Source organism: Homo sapiens, chromosome 2 (genome assembly GCF_000001405.40).
Source record: "Homo sapiens chromosome 2, GRCh38.p14 Primary Assembly".
In the NCBI taxonomy this organism is placed as follows: Eukaryota; Metazoa; Chordata; class Mammalia; order Primates; family Hominidae; genus Homo; species Homo sapiens.
In genome coordinates, this window is record NC_000002.12 from 178,112,437 (window position 1) to 178,140,298 (window position 27,862).

General features: G+C 36.7%; 1 protein-coding gene across 11 annotated transcripts, besides 1 other annotated feature; it reads left to right on the forward strand.

The window, feature by feature from the left end:
- Positions 1-26,575, forward strand: RBM45 (RNA binding motif protein 45). Of its 11 annotated transcripts, XR_007069527.1 has the most exons (12): positions 1-410; positions 3,826-3,948; positions 5,619-5,745; positions 7,851-7,973; positions 8,744-8,923; positions 11,086-11,215; positions 11,392-11,476; positions 11,691-11,854; positions 13,548-13,748; positions 21,425-21,464; positions 24,027-24,147; positions 24,318-26,575. XR_007069527.1 is itself a non-coding variant. In XM_047443321.1 (11 exons), the coding sequence occupies exons 1-9, from the start codon at positions 111-113 to the stop codon at positions 13,738-13,740; spliced, it is 1,854 nt and encodes a 617-aa protein (XP_047299277.1). In that variant the 5' UTR covers positions 1-110; the 3' UTR covers positions 13,741-13,748; positions 21,425-21,464; positions 24,027-26,575. The 11 variants fall into 11 exon arrangements, 9 of the variants coding, with proteins under 9 accessions (XP_047299277.1, XP_047299280.1, XP_047299278.1 ...); XR_007069526.1 differs by having other exon boundaries at positions 1-839; positions 21,425-24,147; XM_047443321.1 differs by having other exon boundaries at positions 1-839; positions 24,027-26,575.
- Positions 37-206: an enhancer, noted in NCBI's record as "active region_16801". NCBI's record gives its function as "activates an Ori minimal core promoter by ATAC-STARR-seq in GM12878 lymphoblastoid cells {active_cell/tissue: GM12878}" and the evidence as "EXISTENCE:reporter gene assay evidence [ECO:0000049][PMID:35858748]".
- Positions 26,576-27,862: the final 1,287 nt, after the last annotated feature.

Here is a 27,862-nt window from a genome sequence, read left to right on the forward strand (position 1 = left end):
CTCCCGGAAGCGGAGCACCGAGCCGGCAAAGGCTTGGGTGTGAGACAGCAGCGGTGGCAGACACCGCAGAAGCAAAGAGCAGTGAGGCTCCTGCATTCGGGTGGAGCACCATGGACGAAGCTGGCAGCTCTGCGAGCGGCGGGGGCTTCCGCCCGGGCGTGGACAGCCTGGACGAACCGCCCAACAGCCGCATCTTCCTTGTGATCAGCAAGTACACACCTGAGTCGGTGCTGAGGGAGCGCTTCTCGCCTTTTGGCGACATCCAGGACATCTGGGTGGTGCGGGACAAGCACACCAAGGAGTCCAAGGGCATTGCTTTCGTCAAGTTCGCCCGCAGCTCACAGGCCTGCAGGGCCATGGAGGAGATGCATGGCCAGTGCCTCGGCCCCAACGACACCAAGCCCATCAAGGTGCGGGTGCCCGGGTCGGGGTGCCCTCGGGGGAAGGAGTGGGCCTCTTGGACCTCCCTTCACCTGCTGCTCTGCCGGGGTGAGGGAGGAGTGGAACATCCGTTCCCGGCAGCTGACCAGACAGCACCTGGCTTGGGGACAGGGGCTGCTTTGAGGAGAGGCTCCCCTCCCACGAAGCTGCGCCGGGTTGCAGGGAAGGGGACGGGATGCGGAGTGTTTGCCCCACGAGAGCGGACCCGGCAGCCGCGGCCACCGGGTGACAGAACAGCAGTGGCTGGGCTTCCCCTCTCCCTCGCCCTCACTAATCCACCAGCTCTTGAGTTCACTGCCAAACTCGTCCTAGCCTACTTTGAGTACTTTTCTGACCTTCCTCTCTCAGATGCCCAGATTTCCATATATAAAAAACGGAAAAACTCTACTTTTCCTCAGGTACAGATGAGGCGTTAACAACTTGACAGAAGTACTTTAAACTGGGGAGGGACCTCTGGTGTTGGACGTTTTCCTAGTACCAGGCGAAAGAATACATGTACAGAAAGAATAAGTGCAGGTGTTTAAAACGGTCACTGTTACATATTCTTCACATTTTGTTATTTTGGAAAATTGTTTTGAATGAGCTCTGTTTCTGAAAGTGTTAATAGCATACATTTGGTTCTTGACCCTTTCTGTTACTGCAACTTTTCTTTGAAAGCAGACCAAAGTAAACTGCCTTAAGAAGAGCCAAATCATTGTGATAATGACACATGGCAGGAAGGATCATTTTGAGGGTTATTTGACATAATATGTGCTGTCAGCACAGTGCCTCACACAGGGTAAGCCCTCAATAATGTCCTTGTTATTGATCAGTAGTAGCCAAGATGTCACAGCTTACTCCCTGTGATCTCAAATCAGGACTCAATCCTGAGAATCTGGCAATTGCTTAAATTGTAGCCTTCGTCTGCCCCATGTAAATAGTTGCTGTGTATGTTATTCTGTTGGTACTTTGCACAAAAATATTTTCTCAATTTTTTAAAAAATTGTTTTCCAAACTGAGAATGGTATTAATATGGATTTATGTAAATAAAGGGCTCAGAGATATTTCAGTCTCTGGAGGTCTTGCTCCATCCACCAAAGAGAAGGAGCCTGGGACTCTACCAACAACACAGTAAACAGTCCCTTCCTCCCACTTCTCCAACCCTCTGAAGTGTGTCAGAGTGACAGCAACAAAATTAATTGTAGGGCCACAGCATACAGGATCAGGAATTGGCAAACTTTTTCTGTAAAGGGCTGACTAGTAAATATTTTAGGCTTTGCAGGCCACATACAGTCTCTGTCACATAACCTTGTCTGTTTTTACAGTCCTTAAAAACTGTAAAAACAATTATTACATCATGGGCTATACCAAAAATGGAGCTGTGGTTTGCTGACCCCTGTACTAGACTAATGAATTTTATCGCTGTCCAATTATGACCTTAGTGGAGAGGATTTTTATATTTTGAGTGTAACATGGCCACAGAGCCCTTGTGGGCAGCCCAAAAAACTGTCCCATATTTGAAATTGATGGACCACCTTCCCCTGATAAATTTCTATAAGAGAAATTAAAGGCCCAACACCGAAATGTACCCTCTCTTTTAGCCTCAGAGAAATTAAAGATCTTGTTCCCAAAAAGAAATAAACTTTACTATTTTCTTTGTCACATTTTTGACTATTCAGTTTTAGCCAGAAGGTTGTTTCACTGTAGTACCTAGCTAGACAGTCTAGTTTCTGTTTCTTTTTCTTTTTTTGAGACAGAATCTCACTCTGTCACCCAGGCTAGAGTGCAGTGGCTTCTTGATCACAGCTCACTGTAGCCTCCACCTCCCAGACTCAAGCAATCCTCTTGCCTCATCCTCCCTCTCGAGTAGCTGGGACTACAGATGTGCACCACCATGCCCAGCTTATTTTTTTTATTTTTCTTAGAGACAGGGTCTCACTATGTTGCCTAAGCAGGTCTCAAGCTCCTGGACTCAAGTGAGCCTCCCGTTTCATCCTCCCATTACAGTTGTGAGCCACCACACCCTAACAGACTAGTTTCATTCAGCAGCTGCAGCTTGAGCCATCTTCAACTGGAACACTCTTGGGTTGTTTTCAGCATTTCCAGTTAAATTAATTCAGCTTCAATATTTCTATTGTACTTTGCTTTTACAAAGTTTCAGAGGATCTGTAAGACAACAATATTATCTTACCAGCCCTCAGCCAGAAAAGATTGTCCAAGTAAAAGTTATTCTGTGACCAACTATGTTATCTGGCGGAAAGGGGGAAACCTAGAAAACAGAAGAAAAAAATCTTGGCTGTAGTTTTGCAAGAATGCTTCTTATCTAGAGCCTATGAACACTCAGTCTATGAAGGTAAAAATTTATGGGAGAAATCTACCATGAGGAGGTTAATTATTTTACGTATGTTCTACATAGACTGTCTCCTTTATCAGAGATTTGAAACACCTCAGTCCTCTAAAATATAGAAATCTGTGCTCTGATGGCACTTCCAATTTCATCTTACCTGAGGTTCTTTTTTTTTTCTCTAGTGTCTTTGCATATACTTAAAGCTTCCCTATTTGTATTTCCCTATTTACCATTTATTACTGATATCAGCCACAAGACTCTAGTGGGCCATTTCCATGTTACTCAATAGTTGTACTCATATGGTGCTTGACATATAGTATAGATTTATTGAAGGAATAACTAGAAGTAGACTATAAAGGGATATGTCTCTAACACTGTGGTTTTCTTGGTTGCTGCTTCCTACTGTGGAATTTCATAAGTTCCAGTTTTCTCATGCTTTAATGATACAGAGCCCCCTTTACCAGCAGTGGATCAGAGACCAAGATATAGAGACCCCTTTAAAGGAAAAAGAAACAAACAATGCAAGTGCCCTTGTTTATGGTGTTTTAATTAATTGTATTACGTTTCTTCAAATTACTCTGGCTAAAAATAAATGCAAAAGTAGAAATACATTTGGGAAAAACACAATGCAGAGATTGGTATTATCTCATAAAAAAAAGTCATTGCAGGCCCAGCACAGTGGCTCACACCTGTAATCCCAGCACTTTGGAAGGTCAAAGTGGGAGGATCACTTGAGCCCAGGAATTCATGACCATCCTGGACAACATAGCAAGACCTTGTCTCTACAAATATTAAAAAATTAGCTGGGTGTGGTGGTGTGTGCCTGTGGTCCCAGCTACTTGGGAGGCTGAGGTGGGAGGATCACTTGAGCCTAGAATGTTGAGACTGCCGTGAGCCATGATCACACCACTGCACTGCAGCCTGCTTTTTTTTTTCTTTGAGACCCTGTCTCAAAGATTAAAAAAAAGTCATTGCAAGAATAATTGCTTTTGAAAAAATTTAAGAAATGGGAAAATAGTTGACATTATTTTATTTTGGGAGTTTTGTTTGTTTCTTAGGTTTTCATTGCTCAGTCCCGATCATCTGGAAGTCACCGAGATGTTGAAGATGAAGAACTTACAAGAATCTTTGTTATGATACCAAAGTCCTACACAGAAGAAGATCTGCGGGAAAAATTTAAGGTATTTATTCTAATCAGCTAGCATATGTGATAACTCATAGTCCTGCATAGGTTGTATGGGTACTAAATCTGAAATGTTGTTGGAATAAGGTCAATAGAGTAGTCTTGGGGAATTACATAACTGCTTTCATCAATTTCAATCTACTCTTTAAATATTAAACCTAGCATAAATTAGTTTTTAAAATTAAAGAATATATAAAAGCTGGAAAATAGTAATGGTAGTCTCTCCCTACTTTATTGTGAAAGTAGAGATTCGCAGAAATGAAGCATAAAGCTCAGAAACTTTTAAGTAAAGTCACACAACTAGTAGGTGGTAGAGCTATGATTTAAACCCAGGCTGTCGGAGTCTGGAGCCTGCTCTTGGTCTTTAAAATTTCAAAGCACGCTTTTATCACTCCCCTCTATTGCCTGGCATGTAGAGGCGAATCAGGCAGACCTGAGTGTGTGAACTGTATTATCTAGTATTGAGAACGGGCCTATGGTGTGTTGACATGGTACTCATTCACAGAAAGGCTTATTCTTTGAAGAGTTTTTGTCCTAAAATTGGGCCTTTGAAGGAATTATATTTAAAGAAGAAAACGTAAATATAGCTCTGACCTATATAAGTGAAATTTGAGGATAATTTTATGTCTTTTTAGCCATTAACTTATGCAGTGATGAGCTTTCACACAAATTATTAAAAAGCAATTTTTTAATTGTTTTGAATTGTAGTTTTTTATCTTTTTTCTACTAATCCTCCCATGAATTGGGTGGCAACAAGCAAGAAAGAAAACAAGCAGTAAAAAGTAATTTTCAAACTTTCTCTCCTACCCCAATTGAGAATTCAATGAAATACTTCAAAAATAACAAATACCAAAAACGTATATTTTATACATCCTCCAGTAGTAAGGAAAATGTTTTTTACCTTAAATATTTATAAATTTTTCTTTTCCTGAATGAACAAATATAACACTTTAATGTATAGTAATTAAGTTGCTAATTGATTACATAAGAATTTATAAAATAAATAATAAATACCAATTATATTCCATATTTCTTTGAACATTGAAAGTAAACACTACTGCATGTTTCTCAGAATAGTAACTTTCTGAGTGAACCAGCATATTTTAGAAATACCCTTTGAAAAGCACTCCTTCAAAAGAATACACAATCATTTATGTTCCTGTTAGAAGACAGACAAGTAATAATAGCTAATGTTCTTTGAGTATGTTCCAAGCCCCATGTAAGCACTTCACATGTTTTACTTCAGTTAACCCTTAAACAACCCTGTGAGGTAGATACTACTGCTAGCCTCTTTAATAAAGAGGTAGGCACAGAGAGAATAAGTAAACTGCCTAATTAATGAGTGGTTGATTCAGGATTTCAATCTAGAAAGTTTAATTCCAGAGCTCTGGCTCTTAACCACTGTTGAGCAAGACTTTGGAGCTATCCAGACCATGTACAAATTCTTACTCTTCTGTGACTTTGTCCCTCTTTGATTTCTCTAAAGCCCAGCTTCCTTATCTATGAAATAAGCATATTTGCAAATACAAATATGCAATATCTGCATATTTTATACTGCCTATTTCTTTGTTTGCATGCAAGGGTCACATATAAACAAATTTTTAGTTCTGAAATACTCTGTTCAATTAATTTTAAGTCCCCTAAAATCATGTCTTTTAACTCTCTTAGGTGTATGGAGATATCGAGTATTGCAGCATTATTAAGAATAAAGTGACTGGAGAAAGTAAAGGTTTGGGCTACGTACGATACTTAAAACCATCACAAGCTGCCCAAGCAATAGAAAACTGTGATCGAAGTAAGGATGTGTTTAACATTGTTAAAAACTTTTGTAAAAAATTCTGATTATTCTAAATAGCTGAATTTAATATTAGTTTTTGCTAATAACTGTATCTGCTAATGTAATTTTAGCAGTGGGTATTTAAATATTTACAGTCCAAGGAAGAAAAATATTTTGGGGTTATGATTAAACATTCATTGAGGCACTATCTTGAAGAAATAAGAGCAACTACATTAACTTAGTAAGTGAAATGCATACTTTGGGTATTATTTTTATAGGTTTTTAGGGTTTTTTAAGTGTATTTTAGAATTTTAAGTATTAAAAACTTGACTTACCTTTTCAAGGTTTTTAAAATATTCTTTATATTTGTTTATATTTGATCTACATCCCAAAGACTATAAAGTATAACTAATAAACCTATAGGTTAAGGGTAAGATTTATAAGATGTGCTAACATAGGTAACTGATATAGATAGGGTTAATTTCAAGCTAGAGTGACATGAATGTGATCTTCTGATGTTGCTGTATATATAAAGAATAAGAATTTTAAAGATGTCAAAGAGAATATTCTTTGTTGGTATACTTCTAGTTAGGTATATTGACCTTTAGAAATGATATGTAGAGTAATTAAATTACTGGATTTTAGGACATTATAAAAATATATACTTACTGGAAAGAATTACTGTTAATCAGTAGAATTCTTAGATACCCCTAAGGTACATACCCAGATTTTCTCTTAGATCCTTCTAAATTTCTCATTTAGCTAGCAGTAATTGAGTACCTGCAGTATACTGATCAATATGCTAAGTAGAGGGATACAGATGAAGTATATGGCAGCCCTCACATTTAAGGAATTTATAGCTGTATTGGGTAGCCAAGATCTAATAGGCAAAAAATAAAGAATAATGGAAGAACTTTTTTTAAAGGCTCTTTGAAAGCAAGAAGTATGCCTTATTTGTCTGTCACTCCAGGTATCTAGTACAATAATAGGCCCTCAATAAAGATTTATTAAGCTCTCTATAAAAGTAAATGCCATTTATAGTAGACTCAGTAAGAATTTGCCAAATGAAAAAAATGTTCATAAGTGTATGGTAGAGTCTGTCAATGGTGAAAAACAAGTGCTGGATGAGCATGGCAACACATGCCGAGGGGGTAGGACTTGTGTCTGGTGTCGAGGAGGCAGGACAGAAGGTGAGAGCAGTGCTAGCAGAGGCACAATGCCAGGAATAAACATGTGTTTTGCTTGGTGCTGTGAAGGCAGCTGTCTGAGTAAAGCACAGTATTTCTGCTGAGACATTCTGAGACACAGTTAACTAGGTACATTGGAACATGGGAACCATATATTGGAGGTTAGGAAAAGTTCAAGGTTAGTCCGCATTAGGATTCCTTTGTAGATTGTTTAGAAAGACAAAAGTAAGAACAGTTGATCTAACCCCACTGTATTAATGATAGATTTCCAGAGAAGAATTCAAACTGGCTGGTTTTATCCTTTTTTTAAGCCACTGAATAATGTGAAGAAAACTGAACCCTTGAAATATGCCCATGTGCACATAAATGCATAATAAGCATTTTGTTTGAAGTGTCAGAGGGTTTGTGGAATCTTCCCACCTTTTGAAGCTCATCCTTGGACCCCTAGTTAAGAACCCTTGATCCAGAAGCAAAAAAAACAGTTAAAGGGCTCTTGTAATTAATTGAAGAGAATCTAAATTAAAAACAGAGGCAGGGAAGTTAGAGTAAAAGATAGCATATTCCAATTGTGTGCATTTCAAAGGAAGAAACTTGGTGACAGGTTAAATATAAAGAAGCCCTACAGGATTTTAATGTTGAGGAGCTTAGGTGAATGAATGACGATGTTATCTGTAATAGGGGGAGATGGGAAAGGATAGCATAGAATTGCTGATCTTTCATGTCTACATTGACCCGTAATTTGGGATACTTGCTGTTTGTCATTTACTCTTTGCCATCTTCCAGAAAGCAAAGAAGTAGGTCTGGAGGAGATGGCCATTGTATAGATTTTGCTTTGTACAATTATATTTATAAAGCTGAGTCAGGCACTAGCAATCAAGTATATTTGCAGGTATGTTAAATTTGCTGTGAAACTTGAAATTCATGGGGTTTTTTCAGGTTTTAGAGCAATCTTGGCTGAACCTAAAAATAAAGCATCTGAATCCTCTGAACAAGATTATTATAGTAATATGAGGCAAGAAGCTTTGGGACATGAACCTAGAGTAAATATGTTTCCATTTGGTAAGTAGGCAACCTTTACTTTTAATAGTATAATGTAGTATATGCAATCTAATTTGGGTTTTAAAGAATACTCTGTTATTGGGCATCTATAAATTTCACCTAGTGAATAAAAATCTTAAATGTAGTTTTTTTATTCCTAAAATGTGGATTATGACTCCTAAAGTTCTTAATATTTAACACTTATTTTGTTTAACTGATTTCTAATTATAGTTTTCTCTGTTAAGTTACGCATTCCTCATATTAGAAACTATTACCACTGCCACTTTTTTGGGTGAGCTTCTGCCTCTATATAGCTGACCAAAAACTTAAAAAGACATATGTAGAGATCCTCTCCGTATGAGTCCTAAAATTTTGTTCCAGAACTACTGCTACTTTAAAATTAGGGCTACAGAAAGGAGAGGAATGGTAAAAGTAGAAGCTCTAATAGAAAAAGGGGAAAATGGGTAATGAAAGTAAGGCCTGTGAATGTTATTTGACGTAAACATTCAGGTAAAATACTTACCATATTTTTCAGTTTTGCATACTAAACTTCTTTCTGTGAAATTAGACTATGCATTTCTTCTTATATTTCTGCATTAAAGGTAGGGGAGTGGGGAGAGTTGTCTCTTCTTGTCATTAGTCCCATCGGTAGTTCTGATGACCAGAAGCGTACTACAAAATACAGTGCCTTTATTCAGTACAATGGACTCTGTTTTCTAGTATTTAAAATGTTAAGCGAATTGTTGGCTGTGTAGAAATCTAAAGATTTACTTTTTTTTATATTGTCGGAGAACAACAATCTGAATTTTCAAGTTTTGACAAGAATGATAGCCGAGGCCAGGAAGCAATCTCCAAACGCTTGTCAGTTGTATCAAGAGTTCCTTTCACTGAAGAACAGCTTTTCAGCATTTTTGATATAGTACCAGGATTGGAATATTGTGAAGTTCAACGAGATCCTTATTCAAATTATGGTAAAATAATGTTCACATTAAAAAATATATATATATGTATATATACACACACACACACACACACACACACACACACACACACACAGAGTTTTGTTAAAATGGCTTTTCTCTAGTGGCACTTTTATGTCAAGTACTGCTCATGTGACAGGAATTTTATCTTTCCTTTTTCTCTACTTTAGAATTCAAAATATGGTGATACCTTAATAAACAAAGCCCTGGAAATATATCTTCTTTTTACAAAATTGTTCACTGTAAAATATATTTTAACTCCCACAAAATATAACATTCTGTATTCCAGTTGCATAACAAAAAATACCTCTGGATAGAGCCTCTGTTTCTATGTACTCTTTTGGTTAATGCTAGACAAAGTTACGAAACTCACAAAATTTCCTCCTCATTCATCCCTAGATCTCTTTCTCTTAAATTTATACCCCTCCTTCCTTTCATTCCAAGCATCTAAATGCCCTGCTTCTCTCCTGCTTCTTCCAATTCTCAATGGAAGCAAGTCTCCAATATCAGCCATTTGAACTTATTAATTAGTTAATTGATTAAACCCATTATCTAACATTAGCTAACCCATCTTTGTGTTTTAAGCTTTTGATTTTATTAAGGCTCTTTGTTAATGGAGGCATTGTGGCATAATGGGAAAGTCTGGCATTCCATTTTGCATAGAATCGGGTACAAATCCCAGCAGTGACATGTAGCTTTGAGACCTTGGCAACTTGCTTATCCCCTCTGAGCCTCTCTTTCCTCGTATGTAAAATGGGATCATTGATACCTTCTTTGCCAGGGTTAGGTAAGAATTAGAGATAATATATGTAAAATAACTTAATGCAAGTTCTGGCATGTAATAGGGCACTCAGTAAATCTAAGGGGTTTTTTTTTCTTTGTTAGTGAGGGGTGGTAGAGAGAAATCATACTTGGTTGGCATCTCTTCCAGTTTTGTAAGGATACCTGATTTAGTCCTTTTAGAGTGGCATGGCTATTGACATAGAAGTAGTGACGTGAGTTTGGTCATGTGGACCAACAGGACTAAGGTAACTCCACCCTTCATACAGACACCCCCACATACTCACTAGTACCCAACCCAGCACTAGTCTTTTTGTAGAACTGTCTTTGAGCCATCCCCAGTCTTAACCCGATCATATGCGTCATTCTCTGTTCTAAGACTTCTAGGCACACATTTTTGTGTTCTCTGGCACATTTGTTATATGCATATGAAGTTGTGTTCATTTTGTTTTGTTCCCTCCCTTTTATCTGGTATGTCAAAATGTATTTGTTCCTGTACCTCCTGTTTTGTTTCTCTGGTTGGATGTGTCTGAAATATATGTGTCATTGGAACATCTTTTTATTAATAGAGGTGTCATCATATAGTTCGAATCTCATTTGAATTAACTTTATATGGTCATTTGATTTCTGTGTTTTATTTTAATTTCATTAAAATGTTGGATGCTTGGGTTTCCAGATGAACATAAATTATAAGTGTTTCCCCAGTGGTTTGTATTATAAAAGTGAAAACCTTTTAGTTGTGTCACAAACTCCTGGGCTCTCTAAGGAATGCATTATAACATTGTCCCTCCCTTCAACATCACCCTCCTAAATTGAAATTCGTCCCTTTGGCAGAAATCTCTCCAAAGGAAAGTAAAATATATCACTTGTGATCTGAGATCCTCTGTTCCCTATCTTTTTGTTTTTCATTCAAATCACTTTTCCTCTCCCTACTGCTGCAGATAGCCGGGATGAGTATATATTCTTTTCAACTATCACTTCTCATTTCATTTCCTACCCAGTATGGTTGGGAAAATCTTAAAATTTCAAAGTAGATTTCAAAGAATAAAAATTTAGACTTTTAAGTATATTGGTATCATATAAGAAAAGCTAGTATCCTAAAACTAAACTTATTAGACAGGACGTATGTTAATATTCCATTTTCCCTAAAATATCATGTTCATATTTTTCCCTAAATTATTTCTTCCTTTTCTAGGAATACACCTGTTGCACACATGATAACAGAACTGTGTTTTCTGATACATTCGATTCTGTATTTACTAGTTGTGTGATATTAGAGTTCTACATGGTTTCATTTTTGTGATAGATTGTAACATAGGCCTTAGGCACTCAGTCTGCTTTCCTTTTTCATTTCTGTATGTTCTCTATTTTAGGTCATGGAGTGGTTCAGTATTTTAATGTAGCATCAGCTATTTATGCAAAATACAAATTACATGGATTTCAGTACCCTCCTGGGAACCGAATAGGTGTTTCCTTCATTGATGATGGAAGTAATGCAACAGAGTAAGTACCATTCCAGGAGTGTCTAAAGCCGAGCTTTGAGTGTACATGATTGATAGGACTTGAAGAATAAAAATAGAAACAATTGACCTCTCAGGTGAGAAAGTCACACAAAACAAGCTACTGTTAAAAGACTGAATATTTTTAGTTTTCTGTAAATTATCAGTTATTTTTTCCAGTCTCCTTAGAAAAATGGCAACACAGATGGTAGCTGCACAGCTTGCATCAATGGTGTGGAATAACCCAAGTCAGCAACAATTTATGGTAAGTAGGTAAGAATTTAACCTTTATAATATATCAATAGCATATAAAATAAATGTGAAGAGAAATCATGCTTTGTTGATTATCTGTGTATGAAAATTTTCAGAGCTATTGTGGAAGACCACATAGATGCCATGATACATATCTGTCTTTAGCTCTTGGCCAAAAATCCCTAAAGGGCATTTTTTTCTTTTTCTTGTTTTCTACCTGTTAACAGCAATTTGGAGGAAGCTCTGGATCACAGTTGCCTCAAATCCAGACAGATGTTGTACTTCCATCATGCAAAAAAAAAGCTCCTGCTGAAACTCCTGTGAAAGAAAGACTTTTTATTGTGTTTAATCCTCATCCTTTACCTTTAGACGTATTAGAAGATATATTCTGGTAAGAAAGTTACATTTTTTGTTATATTTTATTTACACTAGTAATTTAATTATTCTTATAATCTAGACACTTCCTTCACCCAGTACCTATCAAGTAGAGAGTATTAGTTCTCTGCTTTTAAAACCTCCTTATTTGTATCATCTTTTTCAATTTCTGATTATTTTCTTCTCTTGTTTATCAGTCACACATCCTAAGGCTCCATAGAGAATTTCCTGCTATTTTGTTTTTGAAACATAAAGTGGGCCTGGTGCAGTGGCTCATGCCTGTAATCCCAACACTTTGGGAGGCCGAGGTCAGGGGATCGCTTGAGCTCAGGAGTTCAAGACCAGACTGGGCAATATGGCAAAACCCCATCTCTACAAAAAATACAAGAATTAGCCAGGCATGGTGGTACATGCCTGTGGTCGCAGATACTTGGGAGGCTAAGGTGGCAGGATTGCTTTTGCCCAGGAGGTCGAGGTTGCAGTGAGCCAAGATTGTGCTACTGTACTCCAGCCTGGGTGACAGAGTGAGACCCTTTTTGTTTTTTGTGTTTTTTTTGCTAAGCATCTTCTGTTTTGTTGGTGCATTGTAGGATCCTTAAGGGTTATGCAGTCGCATTGTGTAAACAATTACTTGATTGTAGGGAAAAATACATAAATGTTTTTTATAATAAAAAAGGGAAGGTTCTTATTTATTTTTGTGTTTTTAACATAACTCCTTTCTTTGCTTTTTCTTTTAGGCCTTTTTCCCATTTGCCTTACAAGAATGTTAGTGAATTTGATAGACAGGAAGCTTGTTAAAGAGCTGCACAAAATATCAGGGACATAATGTGATAGTATATTGAGGCTCAAAAGGAAAAAAATATCAGGATATGGTTCAAGTATTTTGACCTTTATTTAACTGATATATTTAGTTTTCTTCTTGAACCTCCTCTTTGTTCAAGGCAGGAACTGTGCTAAGTACAAGAGACATGTAAACAAAATATTAAATGGACAAGACATTATGATTCTTGTCCTCTTAGAGCTGATCTCATGTAGGAAACAGACAAGTAAACAGAAAATTACAACCCAGGGTGATTGTTGCTGTGATAAGGAATGTGTAAGATACAAAGGAGGAGCAGTTACCTTAGAAACTCTGAGAAGCCTTGAAAGAAGGAAGGTGTATGTGGAGACCTGAAGTATAAAAATAATTTCTCCACAGGTGAAAGCTGGGGGTATGCATGGTTATTTCTGCCATAGAGAATGTAAAAGAAGGGCTGTTAAATAGGGAATTTGAGAGATTGTTAAGGAAGATGAAACTAAAGAGTCCAAGGACAATGTCAGAACGGCTCTAGAGCTATATTAAGGAATTTGTTGTCACCATGGAGGCAATGGGGAGCTGCTGAGGGGACTTTTAGGGAGTAAATGATCATATTTATGTTTTAGAAAGATCACTCAGAAGACAGAGTGAAAAATGGATTGAAGAGGGACAAGCTCAGGGGTAAGGAAACTAGTGAAAAAGGAGTTAGATTAAGGAAAAGATGATGGTCTGAATGAGAAGAGAGATCTGAATGAGAATGAATAGAATTGACTGAGATGTTTAAGATTGACATGAGTTGGATGTTGGATCTGGGGAGAAGGGTGAAAATGGAGTCAAGAATGGACTCCAAATTTTAGACCTGAGCAGTTGTATTTATCAATTTTGGTTGATTATTTTTTTCACTTTGTTTCAGTCGTTTTGGTAACCTGATCGAAGTTTACCTTGTGTCAGGAAAAAATGTGGGGTATGCCAAGTATGCCGATAGAATAAGTGCTAATGATGCCATTGCCACTCTACATGGAAAGATTCTGAATGGGGTGAGACTTAAAGTTATGCTGGCAGATTCGCCAAGAGAAGAATCTAACAAACGGCAAAGAACTTACTGATTCTTGAGGTAAGCCCTTTTTAATCTGAATTTTAAAACATATTGAGTAAATAGTATATGAGGAATATGTGTAAGTACTTTATAAACTTTTCTTTTTAGTGATTTAGAAGTTGTCAGTTAAAAGAGCTTTGCAACTATTTAAACTTTAAAAATTGTTGACATTTACTGAAGAATGTTTTTGCCCTTCTGTAAAATAAAATCACATTTCAATTTAGAAAGATAAATAATTGTTTTTTGTTTGTGAAATCTTCGATTTTAAGAATTCAACTTTTTATTATGTGCTTATATAAACTTTTAAGTTGTCCGGTGCTAGAATAAGGATTGCTTTAAAAAAAAATTGAAATACTTCTAAAGATTTTTAACTTGAAAAATTGGTGTCTTGAGTTATGAATTGAGGTAATTTATAACAGTCGTTTATAAAGATAATGTTTTGACTTCTCTCTAATGAAATGCCTAAAAAGCAATATCAAATAATATATCATTTTTGGACCTTTTGAACCTAAATGTTGGTGTTTTCTGGACTTGTATTTGTGAGTTTGTGCATTAAAACAATACATTCAGAAAATATTCTCGTATGCATATATGTATTTTTTAAGAAAACCTGACAATTTACCAAAAACTCTTTATTGTAAATTTTGATACATACAGCCATATGAATTCCATTTCCTATTTTATTTATTAGTTTTCAAAAATCAAACTACAATTTATTTGACTGTGACAGTGAGTTTATATCTGTGTGGTTTGGGGAAACATTCCTTAAAGTTTGACTTTTTTTTTCCCCCGAGACGTCTCGGTCTGTCACCCAGGCTGGAGTGCAGTGGCGAGATCTCGATTCACTGCAACCTCCACCTCCTGGATACAAGTGATTCTTCTGCCTCAGCTTCCCCAGTAGCTGGGACTACAGGCGCGTACCACCACGCCTGGCTAATTTTTTGTATTTTTAGTAGAGGCGGGGTTTCACCGTGTTTCGATCTCCTGACCTCATGATCCGCCCGCCTCGGCCTCCCAAAGTGCTGGGATTACAGGCATGAGCCACTGCGCCTGGCCTAAAGTTTGGCGGTTTTTATTCTGTAAAATAATTCTGAATTTCAGGGGAAGCCGTTTTCCTGTTCCCACACACTAACTTTCCAAGTCTACTATAGGTCAAATGTAGTAGATGGCAGGCACTTTGAATTCAGTTTGAAGTTACTGGCTTGAAACCTTTATTTTTTTCACTTAAGATTTTCTTTCTGACCAATTGTGTGAGCTAGCACGTATGAGAATGATTCCTGCCAGGCCTCACTGCTGATGACCCTTCCTCTCCTAGAACAGATCACATGATTAGTTCCTCCTTCATAGCTTCATAGAAGGCATTTGACAAGAGAAAGTGCCCATTGGGCCCATAATCCTAATTTTTAAATCTTTTTAAATGTTTTATTAAATGACAAAACCACTCTCATTGTACCATACATTGTTAGCAATTTAACCCTGGATATATTAAATTGGGAGTGGAAAAGAATTAGCAAGCATTTTTTCCTGTTTATGGATAAAATGTTAAGAATGAATTCTGTTTGGAGAAGCTATTCTCTAGCATGCAAAAAATGTGTTTTTTCTAGTCTGTGAATATTTCAATAATAGGAAATAAATAGTTCTTGCTTTTACTCAATAAATCTTTGTTCTTAAAAAGGACAATAATATAGACTTTAGACTTCTCAGTATAGAAAAGTATATAAATTATTCTTGTGGTTGAACCTTTTCTAATGATTATTTACATGTTAAAGAGAATATTGGGCTTAAAATAAAAAGCCATTTAACTGTGACTGGGCTGGTCTCTACGCCCTTTTTTTTTTTTTTTTTTTTTTTTTTTTAAACACAGAATCTTAGTCTGTCACCCAGGCTGGAGTGCAGTGGCCTGATCTCAGCTTACTGCAGCCTCTGCCTCCTGGGCTCAAGCAGTCCTCACAGCTCAGCCTTGCAAGTAGCTGGGACTACAGGCATGTGCCACCATGCCCAGGTAATTTTTTTTGGTAAGACAGGGTTTTGCCGTGTTGCCCAGGCTGGCCTTGAACTCCTAAGCTCAAGTCATCTGCCTTCCTCGGCCTCCCAAAGTGCTGGGATTACAGGCATGAACCACTGCGACTGACCCTCTTTGCCTTTTTGAGGCCCAGTTTTCTCATAGGGCTTTTGAGAGACAATGAGTCAACAAAATGTAAAATGAAAAAAAGGCTTTGCAAGTCTAAACTAAAACTCTTGCATTTGTAGCTTCAGTGAAACCTTTGAGATGTCCTCTTATCTAAAATAATGACATCCAAATGATCAGAAACTAAAAGTATAATGATATAAAACTACCTTGTGGCCAGTTGGTACTGTGAGAACTAAGCTTTATAAATACCACATTTTTCCCTTAAACTCATCCAATTTCCTACATCAGAGGAATTGCATTTTCAGCATGGCTGTTCATAAAAATTTTAATCTATCATTTTTCCCTTTTTTGAACTGTTACGCATATTCAGGGCAGAGATAAAATAGGGTCAGGTTAGTTGAAAATGGCTGTTTGGATAGGATACGATTAGCTACACGGTTTTGAATTTCTTCTAATTGCAGCATGGCTTTTTTTATTTTTGCTGCGGATCTCCTATTTACAATGGACTCCATTATGAGATTCTTCTTCTTTGTTGGTGTATTAAATAAACATATTACCTTATTTTAAGTTTCGATAAAATACTGTGGAAGACTTTGCCAAATTTTATATGATTGTGACAAGTTTTTTGGGGTAGGTGCACTTTTTTGTTTGTTTCTTTAATTTTTAAAAGGCTGCAAACACAGCTCATGAAGGCTGGTTTCTTTTATCTCTGAGGTATGGGCCTGGGATTAAGTGAGTCATGCCTAGGAAATAGAAGCAACTGATCCAAGGATATAACATTGAAAGTAGTTGAATTCTATTTTGAGATGGGTCTGATAACCACAATGTAATTCTCTTTCTATTTGAGGAAAATATAAATTTTAGTATTTCAGAGCATCAGATTTTTTGTTAATTCACAACACTTTCCCTCTAGAAATTCAGCACCTGCATCGCCCTTCTTAGTAAGTTTGGTTTTATTTGGGGGCAGCTATGATTAAGCAGATAACATTGGGTATATTGAAATAAAGGAACAATTCCTAACATTTTAGGAATACTACAACAGCTATTTCCTTTCCTTTCAGGTGATGATTTTCATACTTGTGTTGTGTTCTTTCTACAGAACAAAGACTAAATAATGACATAATCCTCAGCTGACTGACTGAAAATGTGACTGGACGCATTCCCTGTGGACAGTTGACAGCTTTTTTTTTTTCCATATACCTGATAGTCTGTGTACAGCATTGTTTTGTCTGGGAAGCAGGGATTGCTGACATGTATTTTTGAATCCATACATTAATGCTAAAACGAATATAGTAGTTGTTCCTTAGAGCAATATGTTGTTACGTGTAGCAGAAATAAAGTTTTCTTTGCTTAACTAAATCATGACTTATTTATGTGAAAGACAAGAACGGAAAAATTTAATAGACAGTCTTTAGAATTTGACTAAATGACATATGTCATTGATTTTGAGATGCACATCTTTCACATTTTAACACCCCTGAAAGTAGAAGCATCTCAATATCAGTTGTATGGCATAGTGTAATCGACAACCTTATTTTCTTTCTTAATAAAACATGAAAAGGTGCTTTTTTCAATCAATTGCATCTTAGAGTCAATAAAATATGGTAATTGCTACTCAATCTATATATGCAGCTTAACTGTTTACACTTAATCTAAGGACAAAAGACAAAATCATTGGAAATATTTTGTACTGTATTTTTTTTAGTTATACCAAAATGTGTTGGTAATTTTGTGAAGCTCTAAGATTATAAGCCAACAGTGATAAAAAAATTAAAACTTTCTGATAATAAATTTAAATAAATGTCAGTGGCTTTGGGGGGATGGACATTTTTATCTTTATAGAAATAATGGCCACTCCAAAAATATGACATGTAAGGAATTTTCAAAACAGACTACAATAGGAGGTATAGTTATTTTGAAATTAAAGATTAAAATTAGGGCCAGGGGTGGTTGCTCACCACACTTATAATCCTGGCACTTTAGGAGGCCAAGGTGGGAGGATCACTTGAGCCCTAGAGTTCAAGAGGAGACCAGCCTGGGCAACATAGAGGACCCGGTCTCCACAAAACATTATGAAATTAGCCAGGCGTGGTGGTGTGTGCCTGCAGTCCCAGCTACTCAGAAAGCTGAAGCGGAAGGATTGCTTGAGCCTAGGAGACCGAGGCTACCGTGAGCCACAATAGTGCTGCTGCAGCCTGGACAACAGAGCAAGACCCTGTCTCAAAAATAAAAACTAAAACTAAATAAAGATTAAAAATTAGGGATCTATTCTGCTTGTATTTTGAAAACTTTAACAAAAAAAAATTATTAGCTATGACATTGAATTGATATGTATAAAAAAGGTATATCTAAATCAAGCATTTGGCACTTTTTATAAAAAGGTATTATAAATGACATGCATTTGTTAAAACGTAATTATCTCCTCATTATACTTCTCACATTCTGACTCAAACGATGAAAGATTAAATTCAGCAATCTTAATAACTGAGTATCTTATACTTGGACATCTCCATTGGAAAACTAAAATCTTTTCTTTTAAAAGTCAGTGATTTTAGCAAATTTAGAAAAGAAAATTTAGTTGTGCCTTCACAGGCAAAACTGCTGACAAGAATTGGGCCAGGTATCTTTCTGTGAGGCAGAGGATGTATTTTAAAGAGAAAGCAAAGCTGGGTGCAGTGGCGCGACTGTAGTCCCAGCTACTCAGGAGGCTGAGGCGGTAGGAGTGCCAGAGCCCAGGAGTTCGAGGCTGCAGAGTGCTGTTATTGTACCTGTGAATAGCCACTGTCCTCTGTTTCTTTGTTTTTAATTTTTTAAAAGAACAAAGCAATGAAAAACCTAAACAAGGGAAGTTGTGGATTAATTACCAAAAAATAGGTGTGGTTATCCCAAACTCATTTACTGTACACATAGTTCAGTTTTCACAGATTGGAATTAAATTGTTCCTTACAAGTTATTGGGCTCTGCCATGTAACTAATGCTTGAATTATCTCAAAAATATTTCTGCCAGGTGGTTAATCTAAACAGTGTAAAAGTAACAGTTATAGAAAGGAGCTCTCTACCTCCTACCTGAGTCCATTGCATCTTTGGTTAATCTTCACAATTGAGATAAGATCCTATTTCCTACAGTTTTCCCCTATTAGAGTATTTCACTGGGCTTTCTAGGAGAGCTTGAATCTGTCACATGGTAGCTATCATATACCTGGCCAGCCCTCCACATTCTCTGTTCAGATTAAATGATCCCGGTTTCTCCCTTCTACCAGTCAGGCAGCCGGTCCCAGCAAACAGTTGTGGTAAGAGTAAAGTGCCTTATCTAGATGTATTTCTTTGAATCCTAGTATAAATTCTAAAGAGATCATATGATACCTCTCTACCTACAAAACACTTTGCTTTTTCAGTACAACCTGTTGTTTTGTTTTCTTTCCCAATTGCATGTCTCAGTAAACAATGCTTACTTCAGCTTCAGAGTGCATTTCATCTTAATCCTCTCAGTTATTTAGCCTTGGTCCTGTCTTCCTATCTTTTGCAGTTGATCCCTAAAGCTGTATTTTAAAAGCCAGAATTTTAGATTTTTCTTAGAATGAGGAAATTCTAGAACCTAAAAAATTGCATTTATTAATCTAGTTGTTTATGTCTTCACCTTAATGTTTACTTCTCAGATGCACTTTGAGTATAAGAACATAATATATAAATACTTGGATGCCCAGCAAATGTTAGTTATTAAAACTGCCAACACAGTGAAGTTTTATTAGTATATATTTCTTTAAAAATTTTTTTAAATAATAAGCAATACATCTCAATAAACCTCTCAACTATGTGGTTAAAATAAGAAATAACATTTAAAATAAGCCTGATTAAAGCCTTCTTGTAAATTCATTAACTGAGGTCTTGTATGGTAGATTACTGAAAGCAACTGTCAAATTTGCTGCTTCTAAAGCAACATGTTCCAAACTATGTTCCTTGAAATACTAGAAAGAATTTTTCAAAGTTAAATACATTTAGAAAATGTTCAGTACTTTTAGTTTCACAGGTTTCATCTACTGTAGATAAAAAGGTAGTGAAAAATAGCCAGGAAATTATTACTCTAAAATTTTAGCTTTCTCTGAATTTTGTTCTCTCTTAATTGGGATCCTATTCAGTATGAATGAATCCATGGAAAGTAGAAATAAGGGACTTTACCACTAGGTGGTGATAAACATTGGTGATAAAGTGCAGCATTCCAATCTTAATTTAAGGCACTGAGATGGAAATGATGGTGTTTGAAATGCCTAAAACTGCGGTTCTTTTTTGTTTGTTTGTTTGTTTGTTTGTTTGAGACAGAGTTTCACTCTTGTTGCCCAGGCTGGAGTACAATGGTGCGATCTCAGCTCACCGCAACCTCCACCTCCCGGGTTCAAGCGATTCTGCTGCCTCAGCCTTCTGAGCAGCTGGGATTACAGGCACGTGCCACCACACCCAGCTGATTTTGTATTTTTAGTAGAGACAGTTTCTCCATGTTGGTCAGGCTGGTCTCAAACTCCTGACCTCAGGTGACCTGCCCACCTCGGCCTCCCAAAGTGCTGGGATTACAGGCGTGAACCACTGCACCCAGCCAAAACTGTGGTTCTTTAACTTTGGTGTCCACAAGAATCACCATGAGTGTTTGTTTAAAATGTAGGTATACTGGTTCTGCAGGTTTGGGGTGAGTTTTTGAACAAGCTGTGGTTATGATGGGGTGGTCAGTGGCATTCACTTTGGAATATACTGGCCCAAAGAGATTTCATATGTTGGACCTTAGGTTGGACTGTTGTAAAAGTAAGGCATCGAGAAGTTGTTTCCTAGTCTTTTTACCTTGGGCATTTTTTAGAATTAAGCATCTGGTTTTTCCTCAGTTAATATCAGTAAATATGAATTGCATTAAGAAATTGAAGAACACAGTCTCACAAATAACAAATAATAGGCCATCTTTTTTTACTTTAGTGAATATTTTTTGATGTTTGTAAAGGATAGTAATTGTTTATGCCATTCAAAGCTTTTACCTAATATTTTTATTTACATTTATTTTTAAGTGAATTGTCTAAGTAAATTACCAAAGATTGGGGTTCTGAAGAAGTACGTAGGTAAATGTTATTTGTTTTAAATGACAAAGGAGTATGAAGGAGATGTAATTATCATTGTCAAAAAAACTGAAATAGAATAATCAAAAGGGTACAGAAATACCTCTGTGTGTATGTGAGTGTTCTTATAATCGTAAGATGAATCTTCTTGTAAAACGAATGCTTTTTTGATGTACCCAAAAACCTTTTGATTTATAGGTACATTGTAACTTTCAATAGCTTTAATAAATACTAAAGCTAAAAATCAGTGAGGGCAAGAACAAGTGAAATCTATTGCCTTTTCACCTAGAGGTATGCCACACACAGGCTTTGTTCCATATGTGGATGGTAAGCGCTATTAAAAATCAGGGCAGTTATTTTTACATATGATTTCAGTAAAGAGAAAACAAAAATGGTCATCCTTATTAGACAAGAAGTTCCATTTTAATACTTGAATTCTAATAAATGGATTGCATTATTTCCTTTTCTAGAAACAGTAGCTCAAGAACACATGGATCCTGGGAACTGAAGGTATGGTATTGATAGGAGATCAGACAGAAATATTCAGTTAAAATATCAAGTTGTAGTTCATTCATTACAATGGCCATGCTTTGACTTTATTTAAGGTAGAAAAGTCTTGTCCTTAGTAGAAAATGCAGCTCCCACTATACTTTGAGAAAGTTACGAGGCCCTGTGAAAATTTATCTGAGTAATTATCAGAGAAAAAGGGAGTTCTGTGACTGTCATATATGAATTGAAGACAGTATCTGGATGTCAAGGTCCATGTGAGCTAGCTAACCTAGGCTATACCACCGTGGGACTCTTAGAAACTGCCTGTCTGACCAAAATGCTGCAGAAGTGGCAGAAGGAAGGCATCGGAAGACCATTTTTAAACAGTTGTTTGTATATGAGGTACAAAACTCAAGAACTGTGTGAAAAGGCAAGTACCAGTACTGTTTTCTACAGAAACTGGGGGAAATACTGAGCACAGAAGAATAACCAAAGTGCTTCCCACCAATAACTTCTGTGAAACTACGTTCTCTGAATTCTTCTCCAAATTCTTTTCTGATTTTGTAAGTAATGATGTTACAACTAATTTTTTTGCTCATATATTATTAATATTTTCTAGCATTAACAAGACATAGGTAACAGCATTCATTAGCTCAGAGTTTTTAAGGGTTTTGTTTGCTTGCTTGCTCTGTTTTTTTTTGTTGTTTTTTTATGCCAGAAAAAAAATTAAAGTCATCTACTTTAAAGTTATATACTAATTTACTAGAAGTTCTGATATATAAAAATATGTAATTTCATTTTTTTCTCTCTTTGTCAACAAAGCCTATCTGGGCCGGGCGCAGTGGCTGACGCCTGTAATCTCAGCACTGTGGGAGGCTGAGGTGGGCGGATCACTTGAGGTCAGGAGTTTGAGACCAGCCTGGCCAACCTGGTAAATCCCTGTCTCTACTACAAAAAAATTACCCAGGCATGGTGGCAGTCACCTGTAATCCCAGCTACTAAGGAGGCTGAGGCGAGATAATCTCTTGGAGTAATCCCAGCTATGAAGGAGGCTGACGCGGAGGTTGCAGTGAGCCAAGATTTCGCCACTGCACTCCAGCCTGGGCGACAGAGCAAGACTCCATCTCAAAAATAAATTTAAAATAAAACAAAGCCTATCCACTGTGTTGGGTTTTGGCCCTAGGAGATAATTTTTACATTCTTATATCATTGCCCCACTGGCACAAAACTCTTCCTCCCTCTTCTATATTAGTACATTCGTAACTTAATACAAGTGCCAGCGTGACCATTTTGAAGAGGATAGAGAAGAAGATTTTAATCTGTTACTTAAAGGACTGACTTTAGAAACAATCTACAATAGTTGCTGAGAGCACTGGACAGGGGAGCTGCTTTGGCAATATCAAGATTGAGCCAACAGTGGCAAAAAAAGAGTGTACTAGGAAAGATAGCACCTACCTTTGGTTTATCATCACCAACTCCTACCAGGATTCATCTACCATTAGGTACCATCTTGGCTTGTTTATTTCACCAGAAATTCCTAACAGGACTCATCTCCTACTACTTTTAGCCTAAATCTGGGAATCATAGGCAATAGGGAGTCTATACCAGGTACTGTAATGTTGTCCCTACAGTCTTATTTTACTATGATAACTCAAAGGAGGTATTTCACACACAAAAAGAAATCAGAAGTAAATCTCCCTTACATCATCCTTAAAGATTAGCAATGTGCCTGGAATATCCAGCTTCTACTTAATAGCTTTTAGCTATTTGTAGCAGGAATTTATCATGTCTTCTAGATCTTGTTGATATTATTAGCCTTTAGTTCCCCAAAAATGAGTTTCATATGTGGTACCCACATGGCCTTTTTGGGTCTGTTTTCTCATCTAGAAAATAAGAAAGATAATAATTATTAGTGTAAATACAAGCCTCTGCAAACCCTCGTCTCTCAGGATTCTACAGAAACATCCTGGAAAACATTAAGTAGGAAGAAAATTTATATCAATCATAGAAACTTAGGTTAAGGTTAGTGGAAACTAGAAAGAATTTCTACTAAATAGAAATTCAGTAGAATCCCAGTAAGGGGTAGGATTTTAAAAAATGGCTGACTCCAATTCTGCATTGGAACATGCTGTTAATAAAACAAGATGACAGCCCAGTGTGATGGCTCACGCCTGTAATCCCAGCACTTTGGGAGGCCGAGGTGGGCAGATCACGAGGTCAGGAGATCGAGACCATCCTGGTTAACATGGTGAAACCCCTTCTGTACTAAAAATACAAAAAATTAGGCAGGTGTGGTGGCGGGCGCCTGTAGTCCCAGCTACTTGGGAGGCTGAGGCAGGAGAAAGGTGTAAACCCGGGAGGCGGAACTTGCAGTGAGCCGAGATCACGCCACTGCACTCCAGCCTGAGCGACAGAGCGAGACTCCGTCTCAAACAAACAAAAACAAATAAAACAAGATGACACCTTAGCCTCCCATCTTCTGACACTCCTTATTAACTTATGTATGAGAAGGCTATACTGTTAATTTGAGACAGCTATTGAGAGTCTTGTCATAATAGGCTTCTTTCTGCATTCCTTCACTAGTGGCCCTGAAGCTGCACTATGTTGGAGGTTTCCTTGACTAAGAGAACCACATGCGGCATTCAGCTCAGTAGGGGAGTCATAAAAGATCTCGCCTCTGACCAGAAGAGTATGAATGACAAAGGTGACATAACCAGCACAGAAAGATGTCTTAGCCTCTGCACATCAGCTGATTTAGAATACTTATGTAGATAGCGGTTGGGGTCGGGGGGGTGCGGAATGTTCTTTTCAGCTTCTTTGCCCTGAGAACTTTGATCTTATTGCAAGGAAGTCCCTTACCCTCTTCTACCCTAGATCTGATGGACCTCCTGGGATTTCCTGGGGAAATGAAATGAGTCTAACACCTTTGACCACCTGCTGGATATTATATCAGCACTTACTTAAGTAAGCTGTGGAAGAGCTGAAAGCAGTATTCAGAGTCTGACAGTTCTCTGCAATTGGCCTAGATAAACTCATTGTGAAATAAGTAACTAAATGGGCAAAAGATTTGAACAAGCACTTCACAAAAGAAGACCAAGAAGAGGGCAGGGTTTTTTGTTTGGGGAGTTTTATTTAGTTTTGTTTTGGGGTTGTTTTGTTTTGGCAGGGGACAGGAGTAGTGGATAGATTCATTTTGTAAAGAAATATTAAAATATTCTTTTTAATTTGATAGTTAATATAAGCTTAAGAATCTTTTAAAACTCAGAATGTTCAGCCGTATTAGTCATCAATGAACTGCTCATTAAAACTACAATAAGCTACCCTAACAGTGGTATGAACAGCAAGAATTAAAATGTTGACAATACCAAGTACTGGTGACAGTGTGAAGCAACAAGAACTGCTGATGCAAATTGGCTCAACCGCTTGGGAAAATGTTTGACAGTATCTACTAAAGTTGAACATATGTATACCCTCGACTCAGCAATTCCACTTCTAAGCATATATCCAACAAAGATGTGTACATATATGTACCAAAAGACACATACAAAAACATTCTTGGTATTATTCATAGTAGCCCCAAAGTGGAAACAACCCCAATGTCCATGAACAGAATGCATATGACACTCTATAGCAAGGAAATGAGCTAACTTGCTACACTTATAATGATTTGAAGGAATCTCACAAACATAATGTTGAACAAAAGCAACCAGCCAACAAAAGATGTGCTGTAGGATTCCCAGTTACAGAGTTCAAAAACAAGCAAAACATATCTTTGAGCAGAATGGAATGGGGGAGTTCACAAAGGGAGTTATGGTGTGCTGGTGGTCTTGTTTTTCTTGACCAGGATGGGGATAACTGATCGTTTTTGAGCTGTACTCTATGGAGTATGCATTTTTTATTTATCTTATACTTCAATTAAAGTTTTTCTTTCTTAGTGAATAAAGCAAAAATCAGCATGAGGCTGGTGAAACAGACAGTTCTGCAGAATGAGAGAAGAACAATGTCCTGAAGCATTTAGAAAGAAGGACTTTGTTCTTCCAGTGCTTATAGAACAAAAAATATTAGAAAATATCTGCTTTTGCTCCCCCTATGGTGCAGCAGGGTATTATGATGGCAAGAGGGCAGGAAAATAAGAGTGAGAAAAGAAAGGGAGAAGCTAAATTAATATTTGAGTCAGAAATAGTAAATAGTCATAGCACTAAAGAAAATTGAATCCATGATGAACAGTGAATACTGAACTACTTTTCAGAATCCTGTGGGTTCTCATGAGTCCACAAAGCGAAGATGGAGGGAAGTTCCCCCACTTTTTGTTCATTATCCAGATCAGAACTGCTTTCATCAATGTTATATATTGTGCTTTAAAAGCTTTCTTTTAAAGGATTCTCTGCAGCTTAAATAAGTTAGGATGAACAAAAAGCACCAGAGCAAAAGATAAAAAGCACCCTCCGACAAATATAGTAAGAGAAAAGGTGCAGATCAAAAAGGCTGATTACAGAGATTTATCCTTTGACTAATAGATGTTCCCAATAAACAATAACTCGTTTTAATAGAAGAAACATGGTTGATCTAAAAAATTTTAAAAGTCACAAGACTGAAGATCCTCTTCTACACATTTTAAATGCCATCTGGAATGGAGCAATGTCTGTAGTTTTGTAGCCCAAGATTCCTCTACTCATCCAAATTGTAAAGGTAACAGGCATTCTGTGATATACAATGTACTGCTCATTTGCCCTTTCTGGAAAAAAATTAATCACCACACTCCCAAAATGAATCAAAATTAAGAATAAAAGAAGAAGGAAAGAAAGGCCAGTCGGTGAGTATTGAAATCATCACTGAAACTATTAGAATAATGAAGGTAATTGTAAATTTCATTTTTTAAAAAAAGTTTTATTATATGACTTATCTATTCCGAAATTTTTCAGTGGGATTTATAACCCTAGGTTAAGTTAATGAAGGCCAAGAAGGAATGGCAGTTTATTTTTTGGGGGGGATGGAGGTGGGTGAGGGGTAAAATCCTTCTCTTTTGTAAAGAAATATTAAAATTCATTCTTTTTTTACTTTGATAATTAAATGTAAGATTAAGAATCTTTTGAAGTCTGTTAAGGTGCTTAATAATAAAATTAATAACAGAATGTCTCCTCTTCAAATTATTGAACAATACAAAAGTGAAATTGTGTGTATGACAAAAGTAAAAAAAAAAAAAAAGCACGTAAGACCAAAACTGTTTAAACTTTAAATTCTAAAAACAAAATGAAATTATTTCCTTCGTTCAAGAGACTTACCTTTAAATCCAATTCTGTCACACACACTTAACACAAAAAGTATCTCAGAGTACAATTTAAGGAGAAGTTATAAGGCTAAATAACAGAAGCATAGTCACTGACAAAATTACAATTAGTAAAAACAACAGACCCTGACACACGCGGGCTCATATAGGATTAAATTGTGAAATTACAAAGTACTTTATATATACTTGATATATAAAATATATATTTTATATAATATATTTTTATATAATATATTTTAATAATATATATTATATATATACTTTTATATATTACAATGTGAAAGTAAAAAGTACACTTTACAATAGTGTAGGGATTGTGATGGAAACCTTAACATGTTCTGTGAACCATTACAACACAAATCAAATATGGAGAGAAATTATCCACAAGAAATGAAAAATAAAACAAAATTAATATGTATAGGAAAAAAATATATATCTTTTCTCAAATGGTAGTTTACAAATTGATCAGAAAGCAATGCCGAATGACAAAAGCAGCATAGAGGACCCAGAAAGATCTGTTAGCTTTCTGCACATTAGCTGATTTACAGTATTTATTAGCAGGATAAACGAAACACCTCCAACATGTTCTTTCCAGCCTCTCTGTTTGAAATACTTTGGTCTGATTGCAAGGACACCTCTTACTCTCTTCTACCCTAAGCTTAGATCCTATAGGCCGCCTTGGATTCCTGGAGGAATGAAATGGTTCTGACATTCAGTGCTCACCTGCTGTACGTTACTTCAGCATCTGAATGGCCTGTAATAACGGAAAGCAATCCTTAGAGCCTGACAGTTTCCCTGCAGTGCATTTTAAAGGGCAAAAGTTATACGTGGTAATAAAACTTAAAAATTTTAATAATTAAATCACAATCATGTGAAAAATAATTTAGAAGCCTCCTAAACGGTTGTTTTGTCAAAAAGATCCAGTAAAATTGAGTGAAAACAAAATGGCAAATAAAAATTAGAGGATGTGTTTAAAGCTATGCTGAAAGGAAAACTGATAGTCACTATTATTTAGAACATGAAAATGAATGAATTAGACATGTAACACAAGGGAAAAAAGTAACAATATGGATAAGACTAGAAATAAATCAGAGGAAAGCAAATAGGCAACCTCCTGGCAAATGCATTTTCT